The sequence below is a fragment of the Homo sapiens genome, chromosome 1 (genome assembly GCF_000001405.40).
Source record: "Homo sapiens chromosome 1, GRCh38.p14 Primary Assembly".
In the NCBI taxonomy this organism is placed as follows: domain Eukaryota; kingdom Metazoa; phylum Chordata; class Mammalia; order Primates; family Hominidae; genus Homo; species Homo sapiens.
In genome coordinates, this window is record NC_000001.11 from 19,157,758 (window position 1) to 19,182,132 (window position 24,375).

Here is a 24,375-nt window from a genome sequence, read left to right on the forward strand (position 1 = left end):
GCTTAGCATTTAAGACAATATGACCTAAAGTAAGCGCACAAGAATTGGAGGACCCACCTTGCCCTTCTCATGGCTGACAGCCAAATGTTGGCGGCGCCCATGGGGAGAGGAGAGCACACACATAGCCACCCGCCTGAGCACATGAGCACTGATCAGCTGCCGGATGGTCTGGCCCTGGTCTCCACTGTAATTCATCCGCACATTCTCAAAGGCACCTTCCTGGGACCCTAAGGTGGGAACCTGGCAAAGAAGGAAGCAGAGAAAGTGGGCAGTAATGAGGCAAATAAAATCAAGTGGATTCACGCACTATTCATGTGCCTGAGACACTGCACAATTCAGTCATTCAAAAGCAGTGATTTCGGCCTCCAAACCGTGGATGGCTGTGTAAATGTGTTAAAGTTATTATCAATCCATTAAGAATAACATAGTAAATGTTTTCATAAAGCTAAACTTAAATACAAAGTACTGGTCTTTTAAAAAAATGTTAAAATGTCCAATCTCTTACAAATTGTGGTGACAGATGACATTTGTTTTCATTGATCTAACCTGGCAACATAAAAATCAGCAACTTTATGGGCCCCCAACCCAAGTATTTTTTCACTTCATCTTTAATATCTAAAAACCAATGCTCTAAAAGTGTGACTGATTTTACGACTTCTTTTAATTCCAAGAGTATCAAATAAAACCGTGACTCATTTTTTTTTTTGAGACAAGGTTTCTCTCTGTCACCCAGGTTGGAGTTCAGTGGTGAGTGCAGTGATGTGATATCAGCTCACTACAGCCTCGAATTCCCCGGTTCAGGCAATCCTCCTGCCTCAGCCTCCCAGGTAGCTGAGACCACAGGCATGCACCACCATGTCTGGCTAATTATTTTTGTATATTTTTTATAGAGACAGGGTTTCACCATGTTGCCCAGGATGGTCCCGAACTCCTCTGGTCAAGTGATTTGCCCACCTCAGCCTCCCAAAGTGTGGGGATTACAGGCATGAGCCACTGCACCTGGCAAAAACTGTGACTGATTTTAATAAAATGCCAGAATATATATGGGTATGTATGTGTATATTTCCAACTGACTATTATTCCCTTAAAAATAGCCAACTTTGGCTGGGCACAGTGGCTCACACCTATAATCCCAGCACTTTGGGAGGCTGAGGTGGACAAATCACTTGAGCACAGTTGTTCGAGACCATTCTGGGCAACATGGTGAAATCCTATCTCTACTAAAAATACAAAAATTAGCCAGGCATGATGGTGCATGCCTCCAGTCTCAGCTTCTCAGGAGGCTGAGTGAGGCATGAGAATCGCTGGAACCAGTGAGGCGGAAGTCGCAGTAAGCTGAGATCATGCCACTGCACTCCAGCCTAGGTGACAGAGCAAGACTCCATCTCCAAAAAAGAAAGCCAATTTATGAGATCTATTCATATATCTCATTCGCAATATTTGTTCACTTCCTTTTTGGAATCGCCACCACTTTACTTTCTATTACTTAACTCTGCTGCTAAAAAAGGCCAGGAAGGCCACATCAGAAGTCTATATTCAGTGCTGAGCAGCAGGTTTTAAAGTGAATAATGACTTATACCTTATAACCCATGTGACATGAAAAACTAAAGGAAAGTTATCTAAAGGACTATATGCAAAAGAGGACAAACATTATTTTGTAAGTTAGATGAACTTTAGAGAAGATACAATAAAGTTCTATTTTCTAAAAATAAAAATTCTCTAACTATTCTAATTGCCCCAAAATGGAGTTCCCCACCTCTTGGAGATTCATATATTTATATGAACTAAAAAGGAGATTTATTCTCTTCATTGGCCAAAATGACCCTGGATTCCCCAGCCCCACTCCTTTTTTTTTTTTTTTTTGAGAGAGAGTCTCACTCCGTCGCCCAGGCTGGAGTGCAGTGCTACGATCTCAGCTCACTGCAACCTCCTGGGCTCAAGTGATGCTCCCACATTAGCCTTCCGAGTAGCTGGGACTATAGTTGCTGTGCCACCATGCCAAGCTAAATTTTTTGTGTGTTTTTTGGGGTAGAGATGAGGTTTCACCATGTTGCCAAGGCTGGTCTTAAATTCCCAGGCTCAAGCAATCCACCTGCTTCAGGCATCCCAAAGTGCTGGGATTATAGGTGCATCCTTGGCCAATTCTCTTCTTTTGAAGCCAAACCTCGTATGCTGATTTTCACACTGTTCATAATATGTTCTGGGCATGTCATGATGTCTTAGATTCTAAGTTTTGGATGGCCAAGCATCAACTGCTCTAAGTATACTCCTCAGAGCATCTAGCACATTTTGGGATCTCAATAAATTTGTTGGTTCCCACAGCCACCAAACATCATGGCCCCAAGACACTCACCATCAGCTGGTCTGTCATCTCCACTGCCTTCTCCACAGTGTGTAGCTCACTGAGGGCTTGCTGAGCACGGCTGCTGCTCCCGACGGCTGAAGCTTGCTGGAAGTTGGTCTGAATGGCATCCATAAGGAAATTAAGCATGTCTAACACGAGAGGAGCGAAGGAGAAATTGGCCTGAGAAAAATAGAAAAAATACACCAGTGAAAAAAAAAAAAAAGAAAAACAATGGATAATACTTGTAAAAATCATCTTGCCAGTAACTTCCTTCAGAATCCAGCTACTTCACTTCCAGTTGGATATTCTAGCCATCTTCTCATTCTCATAATCCTGGCATTGATTCCAATCAATATGCATTTGTGGTACTAACTCCAGAGCAATCTTTCTAAACCAGGGGTCCCACATAGATATCCTAATGCGCAAAGGCATCCCTCATATGAAATGAGCTAACTTCTCTCTTACGTTTCTAGAATGGTTTGGGTTTTGTACCATCCATGGGAAAATTGAGAATATATACACTCAAATCGTTTTGTTTTCTGTGTTTCAGATAAGGAACCCTGGCCAAGAAAGGGTACTCTACAGTATGACACAACTAAAATTTATGCTTCCATCACCCCCCATAATACTCCTAATAGTGCTCAGTCATAAATCCTTCCCTCGTGACGACAATACATAGTATTTGCATTCACACTATGAAAATGGGTAAAGGAGAAAATGAGTTGCAAGGGGAGCCATGTGCATTATTTACTCTCACACCAATTCAACAGGCTCTGAACTCTGTCTGCTTACTAGGGAGCATCAGTCAGCCCCACCTGGTTCTGTAATTCCTCCCGGCAGCCCTCTACTGTGCGGCAGAGGCTGCTCTTCTTGGGCTTCTCTTCGTCAGCAACCTTTCCATCACTGATGGTAACCTTGGCTTTGTCAGCTGGCGAGGAGGTGCTGGCATGACGCACTAGACTCTCTGAAATCCTGGGTTCACTCTGAAATGCCGACTCCTTCATGGTAGAGCTCATGCCACTGCTAGGAGTTCTCTTCACCAGAGCCTAGGGACAGAAAATGTCAGAGTCCCTAAGTTCTTGCCTCAAGCACAGAGGAAATACTGCCTGAGATCTCCGAGGAAAATTTGACCCAAAGAAGAAACTGGCTAAGCGTTTCAATGTTATCCAAAAGCCTAAATTCTGATCTTCATAGTATTCACCTAATATCTAACTTCTTTACCCACTCACAGTATCAGGCCTTATTATAACGTGTGAAATTGTGGGGAGGTCTTAGGAAAAACGAACTACAAGATCTCTAAGGAATCTGCTGGTTCTGATATTCTAAATGAAGTCCTTAGGCCACAACTGTGCAGATCATCGATGAGTGAGCTGGAACATATTCCTAGACTCAGGTATCCTGGAGGTGATGGGAATTTTCCAGTTTGGCTTCAGTAATCCCGTGTCACTAACAAGCCACCCTTTATAGCTCAGGGAGGGTCCTCTCACCAAACAGCTGCCATCTTCCTTGGCTCCACAGTCACAGAAGAAGGATCCATACTTGGCATAGGAAATCTCATGATCCTTGTGGCACACCTTAGCACACACTGTGCAGACACCCACGCCATCCACCATTTTACAGGTGTGACAGTGGTACCTACAAAGAACAAGAACCAGCAAATAAGCTCAGAAGTCCCAACAATCGGTGCCCAGCAAATCTTCACCTTAAAGGAAGAACTACCCTTACCAATGCTGGTTCATGAATTCTTTCTGTGTGATCGTAAAAGTGCAGAGTTTATTGCAAAGAGAATCTTCATCCTTCAAAAATAATAAGTCTTTTTAATTCGAAATATATCCCTGCATATAAACACCCACAAAAACACATGTGCCTCAACGCCCTATGGCGGGGTGAATAGTTGACTCGCAAATGACCCGTGGAAATCTACCACAACTGGAAATAGCTAGCTGGCTGAAAATCTGTTGTTACTTCAGGTGAGTGAGATCTTAGGGGTTTGTGGTTAAGAAAAAACATCTTATGCTTTCTCTATAGGGGAGCTTCCACTACCCCCCATGAAGAACTTATCCCTAAAATTCCATTTGGAATTAAAGACTGACAAAGCAGGACAAGTGACTCTGGAAAAAGCTTATGAAAAAGTCCTTTCCACAAGAGATTAGATCCCCATGCCTTGCTCTGAAGGCCTAGAAAATTGGGGCCTGGCAGCAACAAGGACTAGGAAGTTTTGAAGCTCACAGGAGGCTGGAAAACAGAGCCAAAAGCTTGGTACCATGCCAGTTAGTCATTACCTTGAGAGGTTAACTTCGAGGTTACTTAGTACTTACTGAATCCTCAGCCTGGGAATCTTCCTCTTCCACCGCCAACTCCTCCACCCAGTCTGAGTCTACTTCAATGGCCCGCTCTTCCCCATCCACTGAGAGATGACTTGGGCCTTGACCATTACTCTGGCTCAGGGCATTCGTGACATCAGCCAAGTAAGACATGATATGGCATGTGCACTCCAAGATCATCACATGCTGTAAGAGAAGCCCCACAGCAACTTCAGATTCTCCATGTTTCATTATGTAAACCATGTTTTCTCAAGCTTTTTCAAATAAAGCTCAAGATCAGAGAAATGGTATGAGAGCAGAGAAGAAAAACAGTGTGTTTTTATTTATTAACCAGGTTTTACCACTCCGTCCCCACGTAGCTGGTCAGTAAATTGTACTGAAGTAACATGTATTCATTCATTCTTAGGCACAAAGACAGCTCTTTACAAAGTCTTGTAAGATGAAGTAGGATTGAAATTAGAAGAATAGAGTAAAAACTGATTAAAATCATTCAAGAAAAGACCAGATTAGAGTATGAAGAGACTCCCATTAGCATTTCCCCCCTAACATTAGCATTTTTTAACCATTAAGTGAAAGTCATTTTAATTATCAGGCTTTAAAGTAATGCAGGAGAGGAATACCTTCAGAAATCAAGAGAAAAAAATTCTAGCAAATCATTGCAGATAGTTCATGCTTGCCTAGAAAACCCAATTAATTGGCATCAAAGACTCAGATTTCTAAGTTCCTTTGCTCTGCACTCTGACATGTCAGTGCTGAAAGGATAAAGATCAGCAAAAAAGGAGGGAGTAATGAATGGTACCAAAGTGGTTCTCAGAAGCTAGTTATCTGTTCCTAGCCACCTATGCCAGTTCATGGGTTGGGCAGGAGGAGAAAATGCCTGAATGCAGGATTTCTGTCAGTTTCAAACCGCTTTTCTTACCAGAGTAACCAGAACCTTCAGGCAAATTAAACAAAGCTTAGCATCTGGACTAGAGCTGAGGAGGCTGTATTTGGCCTTTTATAACACTGACTCAGAGTGGCACAGTTCCAAAGCCTGAGCAGGGAGACAGTTTCCCATAACATTCCAATATCTTAGGATGGCAGGAACTCTATGTTTTAAGAAAGATTCTGTCTGCTTATTTACCAGTATATTTCCTTCCCATCACTTCTTGCCAGCCAAAACATGCCTAAAGGCACACAGTTAGCAACTACATATTTCCAGTCTTTGAGATTATCAGCCTTATCCTTGGTAGGCTAGCCAGGCACAGAACTCAATAGGAACGAGAGACTTCCACCTGACCACAGAGGTGAGAATCACCTTTCCCTTCACCCCCCATTGTCATTCCTCACTTTTCTTACCTTTCCATGCATTACATTGGCATTCAGTTTTTCAACTACATTCTTCTGTGACAGGTATTTCTTGCTGTCCCAAAGAAAAAAAAGAGGGGAAAGAGGAGACACAAAATCATCGAAGAAACCAACGAAATGAGGCATCTTCATTAACTTTGAATCAATCTGAGGACACTGTGAAGCAGAAGCATTCTTAGAAAACTCCATAAGTACTATATAGTTACATAGCTTGGGGTGCTCTGGCCTTAGAATTATCATTAACACTTGGCATACTTTCCCCAAGAATTATCTTGGGAACAATGAACAGGAAACTCTACTAAGAAAATGATGAAGATGAAGTCTAAAGTGAACAGAGCTATTTGCTACCCACCCAACTCCCAAACTCCAATGAAAGGGTAGAGATTCAAATTTCTTCTGTACTCACTTTGAGCTATAAAGAAAGTAACCCACTTCTCAAGATCAATGTTGTAACCTACAGATACAACTTCATCATCTTACCATCTGCTCAGCCAATCCACAGCAGCATTATGAAGCTGAAGGTGACCAGCACCTTGACCTGCACTGGCCAGAGTGGCCATCACAACCATAAGTTCAGGGAAGCCAGTCCCATCACCGTTGGCCAGCATCTCTGTTGCCATGGGAGTCAGGGTGCCCAGAAGAACAGCACACACACCTTCCCCAACTTGGCTAGGAGAAAAGAAAGAGCAAGTTGGTGAATAATCAACAGGAATCTCATTCTGTGTGTTATAAAGGAAGTTTTAAATTAAACATTAAATACATAACTACAATACCAATCCCAGCTTTGGACTTGGGCTAGTAGAGCATAAAACATTCATTCAGGTTGTAACTGACAGGCCAAGTCATTCCAAAAGTTTTTCCATGGGAAAAAAATCAAGGAGCTACACTAGAATCCTTGAGTCTAGAGAGAGGTAGATACAAAAATGCTGAGAATGCTAAGACTGGTGCCCGAAGGAAAGATAACTGCAAATATCAACGTGTTTCTGGGGTTGCTAGGGAAACACGACAGAAATGTAGTTGTTCTACCTGTTTTCCCGAACAATGTATGTGGTCAGTAACTGCAGCAGCTGCCGGTTCTCCTGAATTACATCCAGCTGATCAGAATCTTTTGGGGGCGATGTAGTCATGCGGGTGAGCCAGGCCTGCAGGCGCACAGGTTCCACACAGGCCAGTTGTGCCAGGGAGCCACAGAGATGCAACAGGCTCGGGTTAGGGCTCTTCTCAGCTAGGAGCAGAACAAGAGGCCAGGGTCAGTAAAGAAGGGCAAGAGGAAGAGAAAGAAGGGGCAAACTGTTGAGCCAGGAAAAGGGGAAATGGCTTCAAAGCAAGTTTTCAACTTCCTTCCAAACTTTCTCTGAGGGATTCTCTCCACTCGTTAGCATTTTCATGCTGTAGTTAAACTCAGGCAGAAGATATGCACAGTATTAGCCGGACATCAAAGTTCCCATAAGAAGATTACTAAAAGCTGTCACTCACTCAGCTGGAAGAGTTTGGTGAAGAATTTCAAAACTCGGTTACAGAATTTAGCAGAGAGGTTCTCATTGGCTGTTGCCATCATGATCTGTACAAGTTCTCCACTGGGAGGCAAGATGGGAGAAAAATGGAAAGAATCACATTAAAGCCCCACATAAAAAGCATCCTTTCTTCACAATCTCATCTCCTCTGGGGAAAATGACCACTTATGAGTCAATAGCACAAGGTGTTCATGAAATTAACCCCCTCACCAACAACCCCAAGGAGTCAGCAATTAACTCCCCAAAGTGCAGACACCTAACCAGGCCTTAAATATTGCTGATAATAAGTACCTAAATCAACATATATAGCTCCTTGCTTTCAAGAGGCATTCAAAAAATATTCACTGAATAAAGCAAAACACGGCTCACCTGTCAGAGAAAAACTCCTCCATAGCTTTACGAGCCTGGCTACTTTCCAGCTGCTTTTCCAAGTACTGGAGACATTCCTCCAGGATGGATTCATCCAGTCCACTGAGGATCAAACGGAAAACTTAACCACCAGTATTAAGACCTGTTTCAATGTCCTCCTTATGGTGATTTATTAAAATCCAAAGTTTGTCTGTTTGACCTTGAGGGCAATGTCTAATTTTGTTTTGGCAAAGCTTAACATAAAGCCTGGCACAAAGTAGGTGTTCAATACATGTTTACTGAATTAATAGCAGCCCCTCAACTTTATTTTTCTATCCTCTTCATTAGGAAGATGAACAGGAAAGGCATCTAAAGCTCAGTCCTAATCCAGATCTGCCAGTGATTTAGGGAAAAAGACACTTTGGACAAATCATTTCTACACAGCTAAAAGTGTCTGAAATTATTTATCTGTTAAAAAGAAAAGAGGAGACAGGGAATAAAAGGAATCCTTGATGAAAACCTGGACTACTCAACAACGAAGAGACAGGAAATTCCAACATGTGGCACCTTCATTTGTACAATTCTCCGTGGGGTGAAAGTGAAACAGAACTGTTCTTTACAGCTCATCTACAGCCATGTGGCCTAAACTACCAAGGTCCAGCTATGCTGTGGGACCGCCCATTCCACACTCATTTCAGCAGCACAGTCAACAAAATATTAGAAATCAATTTCAGTGAGCTCCTCTGTCCATCTCATCAGAGCTAGTGCAGCACTTGATAGTCATTAAAAACAATTTTAAGTCTCCAAATCTAAACATCTAAGTCTTCCATTTTCTTAATGTCTATTCCTAAGAATTAATCACAAAAAACGACTCCAAAAAACTCTTCACACATTTCCACATTAATGCAGAATGCACACAAGTACAGAATTTTCTGTTGAAAAACACAAATAACAATAAGCTGGCCATGTGTGGTGGCTCACGCCTGTAATCCCAGCATTTTGGGAGGCCAAGATGGGAGGATCACTTGAGCTCAGGAGTTCAAGACCAGCCTACACAACATGGCAAACTCCATCTCTACCAAAAAAAAAAAAAAAAAAAAAAAAAAAAAAAAAAAAAAAAAACCAGCTGGGCATGGTGGCATGCACCTGTAGTCCCAGCTACACAGAAGGCTAAGGTAGGAGGATTGCTTGAGCCCCGGAGGCAGAGGTTGCAGTGACCCCACTGCACTCCACCCTGGGCGACAGAGCGAGACCATGTCTCAGAATAAAAAAAAAACCACACACAAAAACAATAAGCTATTAATGACCTAAAGGCAGCAGTGTTAGTACATTTCACTGATAGCAGCAGTAGGTCATAGGAAACCTGACTGTTCTCCATCAGGCTCACCTGTTAGGATCTGCATGATTGGCCAGAATGTTGTAACAACCAGTGATCAGCTTCTCATAAACACGAGCCAAGAACTCATCAGACTCAGCAGGGCCCAAGATGCGTTCCAGGGAGTTGCTACTGATCTCGGCAACACTCTCAGTGCTTGATTCCAAAAGAAGAGGTAGCAGTGTCCGAATTACCTGTGGTGGGTTCATCTCATCTGACCAACTTCAGCAAAGAAAATGAAATCGAGTTAGTGAATACACTCCTCCAAAAAGCTGCAAAGCAAGGACAGGGTAATTCAATTACTTGCCGGGGAAGAGGGGAAGGGGAATTGCGCAAGGGCCTTTATTCCAGTCTTTTTCCCATGATAGCTATTTTATACACAGGTATCATCATACAATTTCATATTCTTCTTTTTCATTATTATATCAGAAACAAAAATCATTTTCATTTGAAAAATCCATTTATTAAAACGTCAAATTAATGAGCTGCATTTTATAATATTCAACAAAGAAAATTAACTGAAACCAAAGCAAGTATTCCATCCCAGACAAGCCTTCTAGAAGAACTGCCAGGAACCTGGATCACTTTTAGGGCAATACAATATAAGACTTTACCTGTTACCTATGTATAAGAAGACAATAGTCCCTCCATTGGCCTGACCTAGTCCCTACAATGGTGGGAATTTATCCCACTATGATTCTGGAGAAACGTTATCAAATAATCTGTCACTATCACTTTAAAATTTAAACCCAAGACATCTCCAAATTGCAATATGTCTTAAAGCCAGCAAGTCTTTTCTGAAAAATACTACACAAAGGAGGAAGTACTCTATTGTCTTTCAGATCTAAGTTAAAAAATCATTCTAGGTAAGTGCTTATACTTTAAAGCAACAGGTTCTTTTTGCTAAAGAAGTATATAAGAAAGCATTACTACATAGTTATAAAACTCTCACTGTCCCTCTTTAACCACAATAGAATACAGACATAGAGTCCTTGGGGCTAGGTAGTAGGTACTTACACAATAAGATCTCCAGTCAACCTGACCAGTGAGAGGAGGGTATGCTTCAGGGAAGCAGCCAGGGGCAGACTTTGGCTACAGAGAGTCCCCAGGTGTGCAGCCTGCACTGCACTAATATAACTCTCTGAAGGGATGGTGTCATTGGCAAAGGCATTGCGCTGAAAGGAAGCAAAGCAGATGTAAATGGATAGACCATCTACCCTGGAAAAAATTCTCACATGGAAAAAAAAACTGACATAAACTAAGACCCCACTGACGTTTGTAAACAATAGCCTCTACTCAGTATACACTGTTATTCATGCTGGGAAGGGAAGTGGGGTACAGAAAAGGAAGCAGTTAAATTTTAATTAGTACAAAGTTAACAGTTAAATGCAACGAATATCCAATACCACTTTCAAATGATTAGAGTATAATATAATGCACTATATCTAAAGTAAAACTATTGTTTGTCTATAATGACTGAGAAGGAACTGGATTTTGCAATGCATCTGGTCTCTATTAAAGTTCTGGGTGGTGTAAACAGAGGTCACGATCATAAAGCAGGGATAACAAGACTATAATATTTAGCTTTTGAAAAGAACTTCAGTAAGCAAATAATCTGTTAATAGAGGTAGTGTGAGCAGAGGATATACAAAGAGTAAGTTAACTGACAGAAGACTCAGTAGTATTGGCTGGGCATGGTGGCTCACGCCTGTAATCCCAGCACTTTGGGAGGCTGAGACAGGCGGATCAGGAGGTCAGGCGATCGAGACCATCCTAGCTAACACAGTGAAACCCCGTCTCTACTAAAAATACAAAAAAATTAGCTGGGCGTGGTGGTGGGCGCCTGTAGTCCCAGCTACTCGGGAGGCTGAGGCAGGAGAATGGTGTGAACCCGGGAGGCGGAGCTTGCAGTGAGCCGAGATCACGACACTGCACTCCATCCTGGGTGACAGAGCGAGACTCCGTCTCAAAAAAAAAAAAAAAGAAGACTCAGTAGTATCTAAAAGCCTAGAGAAGCTAAAAGCGACCCTGTAAAACTGTTACAAAAGGAGCAGGTTCCTGACATACAACCTACAAAGGAAACAGAGTTAACACGTATTGGGAATTCGTGTGCCAGGTAATATGCTAGGCACTTAACATTCAATACATTGAATCGTCACAGCCCAATATTCAATTGGTGAAGAAACTGAGGCTCAAATAAATAAAATGGTTTGTCTTTTGATAACACAAACTTCTAAGCAAAAAGCCATATGAGAACCAACTAGGTGATTAAATGCATTGATTAATGATTCAGCCATAGCCAATATTACTGCAGTATATGAAGATATCTTGGTAGCTAGTTTAAGCCTAATTCCTTTAGGCTTAAGAACAAAAGACAGAATGGCTAGCACTCAGTATTTCTACCCTGGAACAGATAGGGACTCACCCAGGATCCAATATTGGGAAATTCATTGGTATTGATGTTGTTCCAGGACTCACACACAGTCTGCACTGACGATGGCAAATTCTGAACCAGTGTCGGACCTGGAGGCGACAGAAAGGACAAGGAATCATCACAAGAAAGAAGGAACGACACAGAGCATTTTAAAAGCCAAGCCCAAATGCAGAAAGAAACAGTACAGCCCAGGCTGTCAAAATAATTAGTAAGATAGCTTAGATAGATATTTCAATAGCAGTACTATGTCCAAGAACCAGTTAATTGCTTAATAGCTAACACTCTCAATTGTAAGGTTTTCATTTCCCATCATGTTCACTTTCTAATCTTGCAAGTAAAGAAGACAACTGAAAATAAGATGCAAAGTGAGGGTGAGTCATTGCAAGTCAGACTGAAATCACCATTAAACATCTGCTCCCCTTCTATAAATAGGTATCACTTTTCTCTTGATCTCTTTTCTCTTTAAGACGAATCTTAAGGGCAGGGATCATAACACACATTAAGAACAGCATTCAATGAAGCAGTACAAAGTGAGACTATCTGAATGTTAAATGAATATTTAAAGCTTGAAATTAAGGAAAATACAAACGATTGATTGTAAATTTTAAACGGTAACTACTGTACTTAACTCCAATCAAGCCCTTTGATTTTCCACCCTAAATTTCTACCAGATCATTCCTAACCCAGCAAAGAGATTTTTCCAGGCACAAAGTACTAGCTTGCTAATCTTCCTGTCCCCTATAAATGAAAAGAACACCAGCCTGGGCAACATAGGAAGACCTCATCTCTACAAAAAAATTTAAAAATTATACGGGTATGGTATTATGTGCCTGGGATCCCAGCTACTTGGGAGGCTGCGGCAGGGGGACTGCTTCAACACAGGAGATGAAGGCCGCAGTGAGCTGCGATAGCGCCACTGTACTCCAGCCTGGGTGACAGGGCAAGACCCTGCCAAGAGAAGAGAGAAGAGAGTGGGGAGGGGAGGGGAGGAGAGCAAAGATCTGTGCTAAAGACAAAATAGCCTTATGCTTTGGAACCAACAGATCCTGGTTTGGATCCCAGCTCTATCTCTTGCAAGATGCAGGATTGTGGACAAATAACTTCTCTAGGCCTAATTTATAATGAGTAAAAAGGGGATCAAAGTAACACTTCTTGGGTTATTGTGAAGATCAAAATAGACAAACCTACCTAAATGCTTGATACACAAAAAGGCTCCAATAAATAGTAAACGCCAGTAGGCACCAAGGGAGAGAAGCCATAGTACTAGCAGTAGTAGCTGTTGTAATAATATTACTCAAAAGCACATTTGTTCTCTTACCCAGAGTATTTGCCTTGCACCTGCTAGAGCCAATAGCCAAAACAGCAGCAAAGCCTTGCAGTTTCTCCTTGGAAGGTTTCTCAGTTGTTCCCTCTTCATTAAAGTTTTGCAGCAAATAGGCTCTGGGGAAAAAACAGGGGGAAAGTGAAGCCATAAGATTCTAATCCCACCAGTTAGGAAAAACTGGCCCTAGACTGGCTGAAAACCCTATATCTCAGTTTCCTATCTATTTAATGTAGTTGATAGTGCCTGCCCCTTCCTGGTCTCTAAGAATTCCAATGGGTAATCATTTCCCAAAGAATGTCCCCTCCTCTGAAATGCTCCCAAAACATGACTGCCTGACAAGTAAGCCTGAGAAACAGTGAATACTATATCTATCCTCCTTCCCCACCTCAGAAGATTGACAATGTATACAGTAAAGGCTCTGAATACTATATTTTTTAAAACAAAACAAAACAAAAAAAACTGTTTATCCAACATTTTGCAAACTTACTTGACCAGGAACGTTAACAGCTCAGTGTGGAAAGTACTGGCCTATTAGGCCAGATTAGAGTCTGTAAATTCCCAGAGGGCAATGACTTGGTCTGCTTTGGCTACTGCCATAACCCTAGCACCTAGAAAAGTACCTGGCACGTAGCAGCCATACATATTTGTTTGGCTCAAACAAATTTGAGCCAAAAAAAAAATTTGCCTCAAACAACAGCCCTCTATCTTCTGCAAGGCAGTCATACTAAGAGACAAGGTTAGTTAAGTCTGACAAAGATCTAGGTCCCTTTAAAGCAGCATAAAGCCCACAGAGCTGGGCACGGTGGCTCACACCTGTAATCCCAGCACTTTGGGAGGCTGAGGCAGGTGGATCACCTGAGGTCGGGAGTTCAAGACCAGCCTGGCCAACATGGAGAAACCCCATTTCTACTGAAAATACAAAAATACAAAAATTAGCCAGGCATGGTGGTATGCACCTGTCATCCCTGCCACTCGGGAAACTGAGGAGAATCACTTGAACCCAGGAGGTGGAGGTTACAGTGAGATGAGATCGCACCACTGCACTCCGGCCTGGGTGACACAGTGAGATTCCATCTCAAAACAAAAAAGCACCATAGAACAGGAGTGAACACTGAGATCCTACAGGGACCAGATAAAGTCAATAAGCTTAAGAGAGCCCGGTGAAAACTGCTGCAAAGGGAACTAATTCTCAGCTCCAGTCTGTTACTGTTGTTTGGGAAGTCAGGCCCAGTTTTGCCAGTTCTTCCAATTTAAGAAAAGCCAGAAATCTAAACTTGTGAATAATCTCCCAATTTTATATACTGAAATTAACTTTAAATATTTAAACATCATACAGACCAAAGTCTACAGGGCATGCAATTTGCAGTGTTTGTTATAGAAAGAGTTGAATTTCAAATAATTTCTAACTCATTTAGAGATTTTTTTTTTTCTCCAACTACATATCATCACATGTAAAGAGCATTTAAGGGCCAGGCACAGTGGCTCATGCCTGTAATCCCAGCACTTTGGGAGGCTGAGGTGGGTAGATCACCTGAGGTTAGGAATTCAAGACCAGCCTGGCCAACATGGCGAAACCCCGTCTCTACTAAAAACACAAAAATTAGCCAGGCACGGTGGTGCATGCCTGTAATCCCAGCTACTCAGGAGGCTGAGGCAGGAGAATCACTTGAACCCAGGGGGTGGAGGTTGCAGTGAGCCAAGATCGCACCATTGCACTCCAGCCTGGGCGACAGAGCGAGATGCCATCTCAGAAAAAAATTTTTTTAATAATAATAAATAAAGAGCATTTAAGGAGCTTTAACTCAGTTAATAACAGAAATGACAGTGTTTTGAAAAATTACCTTTCTCTGTATCCTACGAGTAAAATCGTACAAAATATTTAAAGAATTATAGACATTAAACTTCCTCCTGACTCCTCCTGCACTATTTGAAAATTTCCTCATCAAGCACCCCTTCATACTAGAGAAGAAAGCATTATACGTGGGGAAAAAAACCCCTAAGCTGAAGAAAGAGAAAAATGTCAAATTCTGAGTCAATGCGGGATCTGCACGGAGTGAAGAGTGCATGTGCATCTCTGGGCAGGCAGTTCGCCACACCTGGTGAACGATGCATAGGTGTCAATGAGTTGCAGCGTGGCTGGAAGTAGGTTCTTGGTAATCTCAGACGACTTATGAGGATCAGTCTCAGCAGCCATCTTAGAAAAATGCTCATCCAAAGAGACCTGGACCTTTGAGATCGCGGCATCAAGGGTGTAGATGGACTGCAGACTGGGAATTTCATGCAGCTGCAAGATGGTGGTACAGTCGATACTACAGAAGGATGAGATCTTTAAAAATATGCAAAATATAATTAGCTGTGGCAATGGGCTATGGTAGAAACCAAGTTCTATCATTTAGGTTCCAATATTACATACCTGTCGAGCGAAGTATTCCTCTACTATTTCAACATCATATTTCACTGAGCTACACTTAGTGGTGGATGCCAGTTCTAGAAGCGAGCTAGCATGCTCAGCCTTCATTCCCTGTTTGATAAGGTGATCCTATTTGGACAGCAAGAAAAAGTGTTTAGGAGATGACTATAGGCAAAGCTTTCATTATCTTCAAATTTAAAAGCTCCAGTAAGCACAAAGCACTTTGGCTTTGAATAGTCTTAGCAGCAAGCTCTGTGTTACCTTTATCCAGTTGACATAGGAGCTGATCCGGAGCCGAGAAGACCATCGCAGAGTGTGCAAGATGTCACATTCGCTCATCTCAGGTGAGTTCATGGATAGCTGGTTAATGTAAGTCTTTGATGGTGGTAAAATTCCTAGGATCCTCCACAGTATCAAGAAGTAATATTGAAGGGCACAGGCCTCCTGGAGAAAGGAAAAGCAGCATAGAGGTAGCACTTGGTATGGCCTCAAGATCTCCCTCACAGTACGAACTACTCCAAATACAACTTTTAAACCAGAACTGTATAGAGTCCTGATTTTAAATTGAGATTTGGCCCCCAAGTCCATTCTCCAGATCTTTCTAGAGAGTGCACCTAGCAGAAAATGGCAGAACACACATACAAATAATTTGTTCCGTATTCTGCACATTTCACAGACCAAAAAGGCTATTCCAAGACAACTTTGGCTCCCCAATAATTTACCAATTAACCAAAAGAGGGCAGGACATTCTGCTTAGCAGACCTGCAATCAGCTATCCGTTTTTGTGGCCTGGAATTGCTTCTAGAATATAGAGACACATTAACAGAGCCATGGAAAAATCTCAAGCGTGAGGCTTTCAATATCACACATCAACCAGTATTGACAGGAGATATAGCACTTGGGGGGGGACCACTAACTCTTAAATTACAGTTCTCTCAATGGTAACCAAAAAAATGCAACAGCTGATTAAATTATCTTTAAGGTGAACATAGCTACACAAACTACCTAGAAATACTCAAGTATCAGTCAGTTTTGCAAATCAATATTCAATAAACTGGTTACATTTCAGAAGGAAATTTCTGATAGAAATGATCAATGATCAAACACAACCCAAAGACTTCTCAGGGTTCCATGGTCTTACCAAGGCTGTTACATTCTTGTTTTCCTTTCTCCTAACTGTATCAAGCTGGGACCCAGCTGCAAGCAGGGCTGTCAGTGCAGCATAAAGCTCATCATACTTGACAAGCTTGGAGAAAAGGACGTCACATGCCTGACATCAAGAAAGAAAGAGAGTCATTTCCTTACTTTTAAAGTATTTTTTCCTACTGCCTATACACTATCACTTATCCTCATGATTGACAAAATATCCCATCAAATCATAATCATTAATTTCTCCTTGGAACAGATTCCCATTCTGGGACATTACTCACACTGTTTGCAAGCTATTGTGAGCACACAGCTGCTGGCTTTAGAATAAGGGAGTAAGACAATTATTTTTGTCCATTAAAATACTTGCATGTGAAAAATGCTAACAAAGACTGTCTTCAAAAATCAAGTGTCAGAGGTGCCAATCCAGAAAGGACAAACCCCACAGCAAAAGTGCACCCAACAAATAAATATCCAAGTAACATTTTCCTATTAGAATAAGCTCAAATCGTAACACAGACCACATTTCCTCACTATAAAAAGTCAGTCATTCCCTTTCCCCCCAGTAGGCTGATTCTGGTGGAAACCATCTGACCCACATATAAAATGCAGTTTTAAAATTCCTAGTACCACAGAATCAAGTCGGTTCAAATCATCCTCTGAGGCTTCTGGGGACAGGACACAGTAGAATCTGGGGTGTGGGACAGCATCTGAAAAGTAATATGCTGATTAAAAGAATGGTTCCATTCTTAACTCTATCTGACTAGTATGCAATGTAAAACTCAGAAAATACTTTATAATAAGGTTTCCCAACCTTAACAATATTGACATCTGGAGCCAGATAAGTGTTTGCTGTGGGAGGCCATCTTATGCACTCTAGGTGACTTAACAGCAGCCCTGGCCTCTACCCCCTGAATGCCAGTAGCACCCCCAGTTGTGACAACCAAAAATATCTAGACATTGCCAAATGTCCTGGAGGGGAGAGGGCAAAATCACCCATTGAGAACCATTGCTCTAAGAGTTAAGTAGGGTGCCCTAGAATCAAATCAATCAACAAATTATATCATTAGTCTGCACACATTAAACTTACATGCTGTTTCCCTAACATCAAATAGTAAAAGATAACAGTAAACTCACACTAAGGCTTCACAAAAGTTTCCACAAAACACACTTAACATCTAATAATCCTCAGGGTAAGTGCAAACACACACTAAAAATGAACACAACAAACACTTCATCCAAAGAACAGACAATTGCTATATGAGAAAAACACTAGAGATAATCTCATGTTCACATTCGTTTCAGACCAGCATATCACCAAGACCCAAAAGGAAATTTAGCTATACATTAGAACCACAACTCTAAGGGAAAATAAGGAAAATTAATGACACAGAGTGGCAAGAATCCATATACTGTACCCTATGGCCAGACACGAGGATTCTGATTTCTTGTGTCTCAATTTATTTTTTAGTTTTTATGTTTTTTTTGAGACAGGGGTCTCACTCTGTCAACCAGGCTGGAGTACAGTGGCGTGATCACAGCTCACTGCAACCTCAACCTCCCAAGCTCAAACGATCCTCCCACCTTAGCCTCTCGAGTAGCTGGCACCACAGGCACGTGCCACCATGCCCGGCTACTTATTAAAATAATTTTTGGTAGACGGGATCTACTCAGGCTGATCTCAAATTCCTGGGTTCAAGCGATCTTCCCACTTTGCCCTCCCAAAGTGCTGGGATTACAGGCATGAGCCACCATGCTCAGCCTCAATTTTTTTTTTTTCCTTGAAATAGAGTCTTGTTCTGCTGCCCAGGCTGGAGTGCAGTGGTGCAATCTTAGCTCACTGCAACCTCTGCTTCCTGGTGCAAGTGATTCTCCTGCCTCAGCCACCAGAGTAGCTGGGATTACAGGTAGGCACCACCAAGCCTGGCTAAATGTTGTTTGTATTTTTTCAGTAGAGATGGGGTTTCACCATGTTGGCCAGGCTGGTCTCGAACTCCTGACCTCAAATGATCTGCCCGCCTCTGCCTCCCAAAGTGCTGGGATTACAGGCATGAGCCACAGTGCCCAGCTTCAATTTTTTAAAAAATATAAATGTAGGCTATGTGGGAGTCCATTTCTGAAATGTTTTAATCCATAGGTGATTTGCCACCCATAGGGATTACACTAAAGCAAATGACCAAAGATCCTCCAAGAGTCCCCAAGCTTCAAATTCAACCCCACCAATGAGAATCAGTAAGTCAGTTTCTTATTAACAGTCTTCTTTCTGACCTGATGAGAAATGCTTAGACCAGTTTTCTTCTACTTCTTTGAATCCATGATAGAGAGGAGTGGTTGCCCGGCGGCTGTTGCTGTCCTGGGATCCACTTGCCCACCCAAAGGGAGGACTTAGCAGGTTATGCTGTACCTTTTAAAACACAAATACTGAAATTAAGAAAGATACACAGTCACCATTCAGCTTTTCACTCAGGCATGATAATAGCTCGGTACACTGAATCTTGGTAATCTGAATGTGGGTGTTCTACATTCAAATATTCTGTTTTATTGGGCACCATTCAGCTTTTCACTCAGGTACGATAATAGCTTGGTATACCAAAGCCTGGGAAACTCACAAACCAAAATAAAAATTTAAAGATTTTTCTGTGACTACTTTTGGAATGCAATTTTTGGTGCAACATAAAGGGTATAGTGCTCAATGAAACATTTTAAGAAATGCTGAACACAGTTAAGTCTGAACGGATCCTCCTATCCTTATTTTGGATCCTTACAACAAAGGAATTTACCAATCCATAAAATTTACTACTTGACTGTCATTCAACCACTAACAAATACTCATCAAGGGCCGATGCTCAGGGCACTGCATCAGACACAGGTAGAGCAGGGCAATTCGTGGGAGAATGCCTTTGAACACAGCCTACATTCCACTTTCAAAAAATGCATCAAATCAAGTAATCTACATGTATCACTTCTGGCTAAACATCAAGTACAAAGTCTCAGTGGTCCTCCTAATCCTACCCATCAACCTACCAAAACCTAAAACCTAAAGTGGGTAGGTCATTTGGGCTGCGGATCATGGTAACCATTGAGAAGAATAAAGTTCTCAGTAATGGTGAAGCAAAAAAGAACGTGTTGGTCTGTACCTGCTCAAATAGATACACAGGGGCTTTGGAGTACTGATGAAGCAGATAATCAAAGATGAGAAGGAGGCGAGCCAAGATAAGCGGCACGAAGCGCATCTGAGCATCCATGTTGACGCTCAACTCCTGGATGATCTGGACAAAAAGCGACAATATGGCCCGCCGGCCTGTCTCGGTGAAATTGTGGAAAATGAGGAGGAGCATCTGCAGGTGTTCTACATTCAGATCCTCTGTCTCACTGGGCACCACACCTTGCAGGGCATTCTGCTTCATTGTAGACAAAAACCTACCAGAGAGAAAAGATGACTATATCTGGTGGGAAAAAGAGCATTCCCCAGGAGTTATAATGTCAAGCACTAGAAGAGTTAAATTTCCTAAACCCAGGCAGTAAGATAACAAATTAAGGAAGAAAAAAAGGCTACATGGTAAAGACAAGACAGAAACTAAATTTTGGCTAAAAAAAGTCAGACTTGGCCAGCCAGGCACAGTGGCTCAGTCTATAATCCTAACACTTTGGGAGGTCGAGGGGAGGATTGCTTGAGGCAAGCCTTAACACAGGCGTGTTAATGCCCACCCTGTCATTTGTGGCCATGAAAAGTACTACAAGCTCCCCCACAAAAATGTTGCTATTGTTCCTTTCTGATTAACAAACTTGGACAGGTGAACCAGTTCAATTACTTTTCCCCATATTTTGATTCTATCATTTAATTCTAGTTTTGAGAGTTTATACTACAGGTTAAAAATCACTGCATGATAATAGTCAAAAATAACTCGATAGACTATAAAGCAATAAAAAAGAAAATATACTATTCAGAGAATTTGTCAGAAGAGCTTTAATGCAAAAAAGGAATGAATGTAGCCAACTGTTTCCATTGCCTTTGGCTATTTGGAAAGAGATTTGTGTTTTAATATTAGGAAAGAGATTTGTGTGTTTAACAAGGGTTTCCCTCATTGCACCCCTCGACCCTCTCAGCCTTTTTGCAAGATTCCACCAGGAAAAATATAGCGGGTCTTTGGCACTCAAGAAGGTTTATGCTTTCTCAAATCCAGCATTAGAGCTATTTGATCCTACAATGGGGAACAGAAAGCAAAGCCTTTTAGGAAAACAAACTGCTTTGAAGACTTCTAACCATGTAAACAAAAATGGCAAATACAGGTCCATCTAAAGTGGATTTAGATGATTAATCTGAGCTTCCCCCAAGGAAAAAAATTCTTTAAAATTTCTCCAAAAAACACTGCAAGTGCCCCTAAGTGGTTTCATGTTGAAAGCAAAATAACCAAGGACAGAGCTGGCTTCCCTGCTTGTCTTTCAAAAAAGCAGGTCAGGATAAAATTGGTTCTGTTCAAGATTGTGGTTCCATCGCATAATTATAACCAAATCCCCCATGTGCTACAGGGAGATTTATTTCCAGACCAAAGTTGACATACTTGTTTTTTAACAGCACATCTCCAAGTCCATCCCTCTTCTACCCTCCCCACTCTAAACATTATCATTACAGCAAAGCCTCAAAGCCACAGATTAACTACAAAGAAGTCAAACAAATAAAAAAGGAAATAACTTTCTCTATAGGCCTTCTCTTACAGACATCTTACCTGTCCCAAACTTTAAGGCATTCTGGGACGTCAGGGTCACCTTGAGCACTGGCTTTATGTTGCCAGATGAGCAGGAGGCGTGAAAGCACAGAGAGGCTTTGAGGGTGAATGTACAAGGGCCAAGGGCCCTCAGAAAAAGGAGCCACTCCTAGCTGCTGCAACAGTGTGTTCTGACAAGAAAGACATGGAACAGAACATTAGCAAACAGATACGGGATAAAGTCAAAAGGTTACTCATGTTCTCAAACGTTTGTTTGTTTAATATTGAACAGAATATTTTAAAGAAAGAAGGACCCAGAAATTCAGATTTTGGAATAGTTTGGATAAAGATCATTTAGGTCAACAAATGAGAAAAACATAAGTGAAAACTTACTGATCTAACCTCATTAACATTTATAGTTAATGAGTGTCAGATATGGGCTCCTGAAAAAAGAGAAAAGCATTGAGATACCAGAATCAGGATAATTTTGTAAATGGACAAAACATGAGAAGTTGTTGCCTTTGAAAGCAAACTTCTTGAACAACTGTAATAGCTAATAGTTTTTCTTTAATAATCAGTTACATAATACAAATAACACCCAAAAGGGGAAGATCCAACAATTTAGAGATCCGCAGTATTCGCAGAGAAATTCTGCCTATGAGATCTCAAGGCACCCAGAACTCAACAAGGCTGTTCTTCACCTCCAGGTGGAGCATGTCTTTCAAGTGAGCTTCATTTTCAGCCCAGTAACTAAGCTGCAAATTATCTTCTCAAACACACACACACACACTGAGCAGGATGCCAATGGAAAACCAGACAAATGCCTGCTTTCTCACTTGGCTTCAGAAGACACAAAGCATGGTTACTGTGGGATGTAGGATAAATTTCTAAGTCTGCCAAATTAAATTATATTTTTATACTACATCCTCAAGGACTCTTCCCTGGAAATGAATGTTTCGCAAAATGTCGCTGGCCTCAAGAGCAGTTTCCGTGGACTACACAGTTACCATAGGTTGAGCTAAATGCAGAGCATACTTTGTTGTCACACCGGATGTGCCAGGCAGAGACAGGAAGTATTATGTGCTCCATGTCACTGATAAGGGATGGTGAAGGTCTCTAAGTGGTAAAGCCAGGTTTATCTCTAAAACCATGTTCTTTATTTATTTATTTTTTTTTTGAGATAGAGTCTCACTCCATCACCCAGGCAGGAGTGCGGTTGCACGATCTCAGCTCACTGCAACCTCCACCTCCCGGATTCAAGCAATTCTTGTGCCTCAGCCTCCCGAGTAGCTGGGATTACAAGCGTGTGCCACCATGCCTGGCTAATTTTTTTATTTTTAGTAGAGACGGGGTTTCACAATGTTGGCCAGGCTGGTCTCGAACTTCTGGCCTCAGGTGATCTACCCACCTCCCAAGTGCCACGGCGCCCAGCCTCTAAAACCACATTCTTAACCACCATGCTCAACAAAGTCATAAACAACTTCTTAATTCCTAAGTTAAATGAAACAATTCAAAAAAAAAAAAAAACCTACCTGAGCTACATGAAAAATACTAACTGTAGCACAATTCTAATAATGGAAAAATCAGGAAAAAAAATCTAAATGTTCAAATCAAGGGGCGTACCTAGCCATATATATGGATAAGTAACATATATTCCTTATAATGCTATTTTTAATGCTTTTTTTTGCTCATTTTTCATCTTTGTGTCAGTTTTTCAGTCCTCAGAGCCACAAAAATGAGTTAACATTCCATAGGAACCTGGTCTTTCCCTTCCACCCCTATCCTTCCTTCTCAGCTCTAAGTAAGGTAACTGACTCTCTAAGAAGTCAAACTGCACCACAGTCCATCTAGCAGCAGAACTCTGGCTGAGTCCTCCCTTCCTCCACTCCTCTTTCATACTGGCATTTCTAAGGGTTCAGCCTCAGCCTTCAGCTATCTTGCTAGTCTCACTGTTTCTCATTACTTCAAAAATTGCCCCAATTTAATTCCTCAATTTCAGACTCACATTCCAAACTATTTTCTAGACACTGGCACCCCAAAACTTCATCATAGTTAAACTGAAACCTTAGGCCGAGCACAGTGGCTCACACCTACAGTCCCAGCTATACGGGAGACTGAGGTGGTAAGATCACTTGGGCCAGGAGTTCGAGCAGCCTGGGCGACATAGCGAGACCCCATCAGGAAGACGGACGGATGGAAGGAAGGAAGGAAAGAAGGACGGACCAGCCGGGCATGATGGCACACACACATAGTCCCAAAAGGCTGAGGGCAAGAGTACTGCTTGAGCCCAGAGTTCAAGACCAGCCTGGGAGATACAGTAACATCCCCACCTCTAAAAAAAAACAAAACAAAACCCAATCTCTCTTACCCCCAAACCAACTCCCCTTCCTGACTTTCCTGTCTCTATTAATGACAATAGCATCCTTCTAGTTTCATTTGAGTTTTAAACTCAGGCAATATCCAAGACTCCTTCCTCTCCATGCTCTTCACCCCATTCAAATAATGGCCCATGATCTCTGCAAAATGTCCTATGCCTATCTCCCTCCTTTTTCATGATCCCACACTAACTCAAGTTATCTTTATTTCCTCAGTGTCTATAATAGTACCTGGCACATAGTAGGTGCTCAATGAATATGTATTGAACAAATGAACCAAGAGACTGCAATAATAATATTAAACAATAATACAATTATTAAGAGAGCTAACATTTAGAAGGTACTAGTACTAGGTACCAAGCACTATTTTTGTTTTACTTTTCTTATGTGGTAAAGTATCACAACATAAAATTTACCATTTCAACCATTTTTACATGAACAGTTCTGTGGCATTAAGCACATACACATTATTCTGCAACCCTTACTACCATCCACGTCCAGAACTTTTTCATCTCTCCAAACTGAAACACTGTACCCACTAAACACCAAGTCCCCATTTTCCCATCTCCCTGCCCCACGCGACCACCATTCTACTTTCTGTCTCTATGAATTTGACTACCTAAGTACCTCAGAAGTGGAACCATACAAGGTTGTATTTGTGCTTCTGTGACTGACTAATTTAGTATCATGTCTTTACGGTTTATCCATGTTGTAGCATGTGTCACAAT

The 24,375-nt window shown here is 41.7% G+C and overlaps 1 protein-coding gene across 50 annotated transcripts in view, besides 1 other annotated feature; it reads right to left on the reverse strand.

The window, feature by feature from the left end:
• The window catches only part of UBR4 (ubiquitin protein ligase E3 component n-recognin 4), a 135,757-nt gene that overhangs the window by 83,248 nt on the left and 28,134 nt on the right, over window positions 1-24,375 (reverse strand). For all 50 annotated transcript variants that reach the window (XM_047416518.1, XM_047416514.1, XM_047416523.1 and 47 more), the window contains exons 18-40: window positions 21,294-21,463; window positions 19,704-19,986; window positions 18,835-18,970; window positions 17,197-17,276; window positions 16,562-16,690; window positions 15,682-15,864; window positions 15,424-15,549; window positions 15,107-15,336; window positions 13,005-13,126; window positions 11,678-11,775; window positions 10,270-10,427; window positions 9,265-9,474; window positions 7,899-8,000; window positions 7,492-7,592; window positions 7,042-7,240; window positions 6,496-6,684; window positions 6,007-6,070; window positions 4,663-4,854; window positions 4,070-4,140; window positions 3,832-3,979; window positions 3,160-3,390; window positions 2,354-2,524; window positions 58-240 (exon numbers count right to left, since the gene is read on the reverse strand). In XM_047416518.1, the coding sequence (XP_047272474.1) occupies window positions 58-240; window positions 2,354-2,524; window positions 3,160-3,390; window positions 3,832-3,979; window positions 4,070-4,140; window positions 4,663-4,854; window positions 6,007-6,070; window positions 6,496-6,684; window positions 7,042-7,240; window positions 7,492-7,592; window positions 7,899-8,000; window positions 9,265-9,474; window positions 10,270-10,427; window positions 11,678-11,775; window positions 13,005-13,126; window positions 15,107-15,336; window positions 15,424-15,549; window positions 15,682-15,864; window positions 16,562-16,690; window positions 17,197-17,276; window positions 18,835-18,970; window positions 19,704-19,986; window positions 21,294-21,463 (3,576 nt within the window). The remainder of the gene's footprint in view (window positions 1-57; window positions 241-2,353; window positions 2,525-3,159; window positions 3,391-3,831; window positions 3,980-4,069; window positions 4,141-4,662; window positions 4,855-6,006; window positions 6,071-6,495; window positions 6,685-7,041; window positions 7,241-7,491; window positions 7,593-7,898; window positions 8,001-9,264; window positions 9,475-10,269; window positions 10,428-11,677; window positions 11,776-13,004; window positions 13,127-15,106; window positions 15,337-15,423; window positions 15,550-15,681; window positions 15,865-16,561; window positions 16,691-17,196; window positions 17,277-18,834; window positions 18,971-19,703; window positions 19,987-21,293; window positions 21,464-24,375) is intronic.
• Window positions 2,994-4,193: an enhancer, noted in NCBI's record as "BRD4-independent group 4 enhancer chr1:19487245-19488444 (GRCh37/hg19 assembly coordinates)". NCBI's record gives its function as "activates an origin of replication core promoter dependent on BRD2, P300/CBP, MED14 and CDK7 cofactors, and independent of BRD4, by STARR-seq in HCT116 cells {active_cell/tissue: HCT116}" and the evidence as "EXISTENCE:reporter gene assay evidence [ECO:0000049][PMID:35650434]".